General features: G+C 33.4%; 1 annotated feature.

Moving 5' to 3' along the window:
- Window positions 210-444: a silencer, noted in NCBI's record as "fragment chr2:6289007-6289241 (GRCh37/hg19 assembly coordinates)". NCBI's record gives its function as "represses an EF-1alpha promoter that drives an FKBP-Casp9 reporter gene in an ReSE screen in HepG2 liver carcinoma cells {active_cell/tissue: HepG2}" and the evidence as "EXISTENCE:reporter gene assay evidence [ECO:0000049][PMID:32094911]".

Raw genomic sequence — 805 nt, 5'->3', positions numbered from 1 at the left:
GATTTCTAGAAATGCACAAATGAGGTTTTTAGGTTTTTTTTTTTTGTTTAAACAGGTGAATTATATTGCTTTTGGCAATAAAATTACAGTGATGGAAATATTTCTGAACACCTGTTTATATAATATTCTTACCAAATAGAAATGATTAAAAAAACACAGTTGCTTCTGCACTCATCATTAAAATGTCATCTCTGCTCTGAAGGAATAGAGTCTGTTTGCATTCCTGTGGACAGCTGCTGGGAGGCATGGATCTGGTAGTCATTGGCTTGCTTTCAAATGGACTCAGAAAGTGCTTGCAATAGAAGCAGAAGTCCCAGCCCTGCCATTCTCATCCTGGGTCACTTGTCCTTGCATTATTAGTACAATTCTAAATCTAATACTTTTCCGAAGTAATCTTCCAAAACAGTTGTCCTTTTTTTGAAAATATTCAGATGATATTAGAGAATATCATCTCTAAATTCATAAACAAATAAGTAAAAAATAAGCCAGTACAGATGGTCCCCAACTCGAGACTTAAACAATTTTGTGACTTTACAGCGATGTGAAACCATTGCTTTTCACTTTCATTGCAGTATTCCACAAGTTACATGAGATATTAAACATTTTATTATAAAATAGGCTTTGTGTTACATGATTTTGCCCAACTTTAGGCTAATGTAAGTATTCTGAGCACATTTAAGGGAGGTTAGGCTAAGCTATGATGCTTGGTAGGTTAGGTTTATTAAGTGCATTTTTGACTTCCAATATTTTCCATTTTCGATAGATTTATTGAGATGTAATTCATCATAAATCAAGGAACGTTTAT

This window comes from Homo sapiens, chromosome 2 (genome assembly GCF_000001405.40).
Source record: "Homo sapiens chromosome 2, GRCh38.p14 Primary Assembly".
Lineage (NCBI taxonomy): Eukaryota > Metazoa > Chordata > Mammalia > Primates > Hominidae > Homo > Homo sapiens.
The sequence above is the reverse complement of the archived record's forward strand: the minus strand, read 5'-3'. Positions and strand labels throughout refer to the sequence as shown.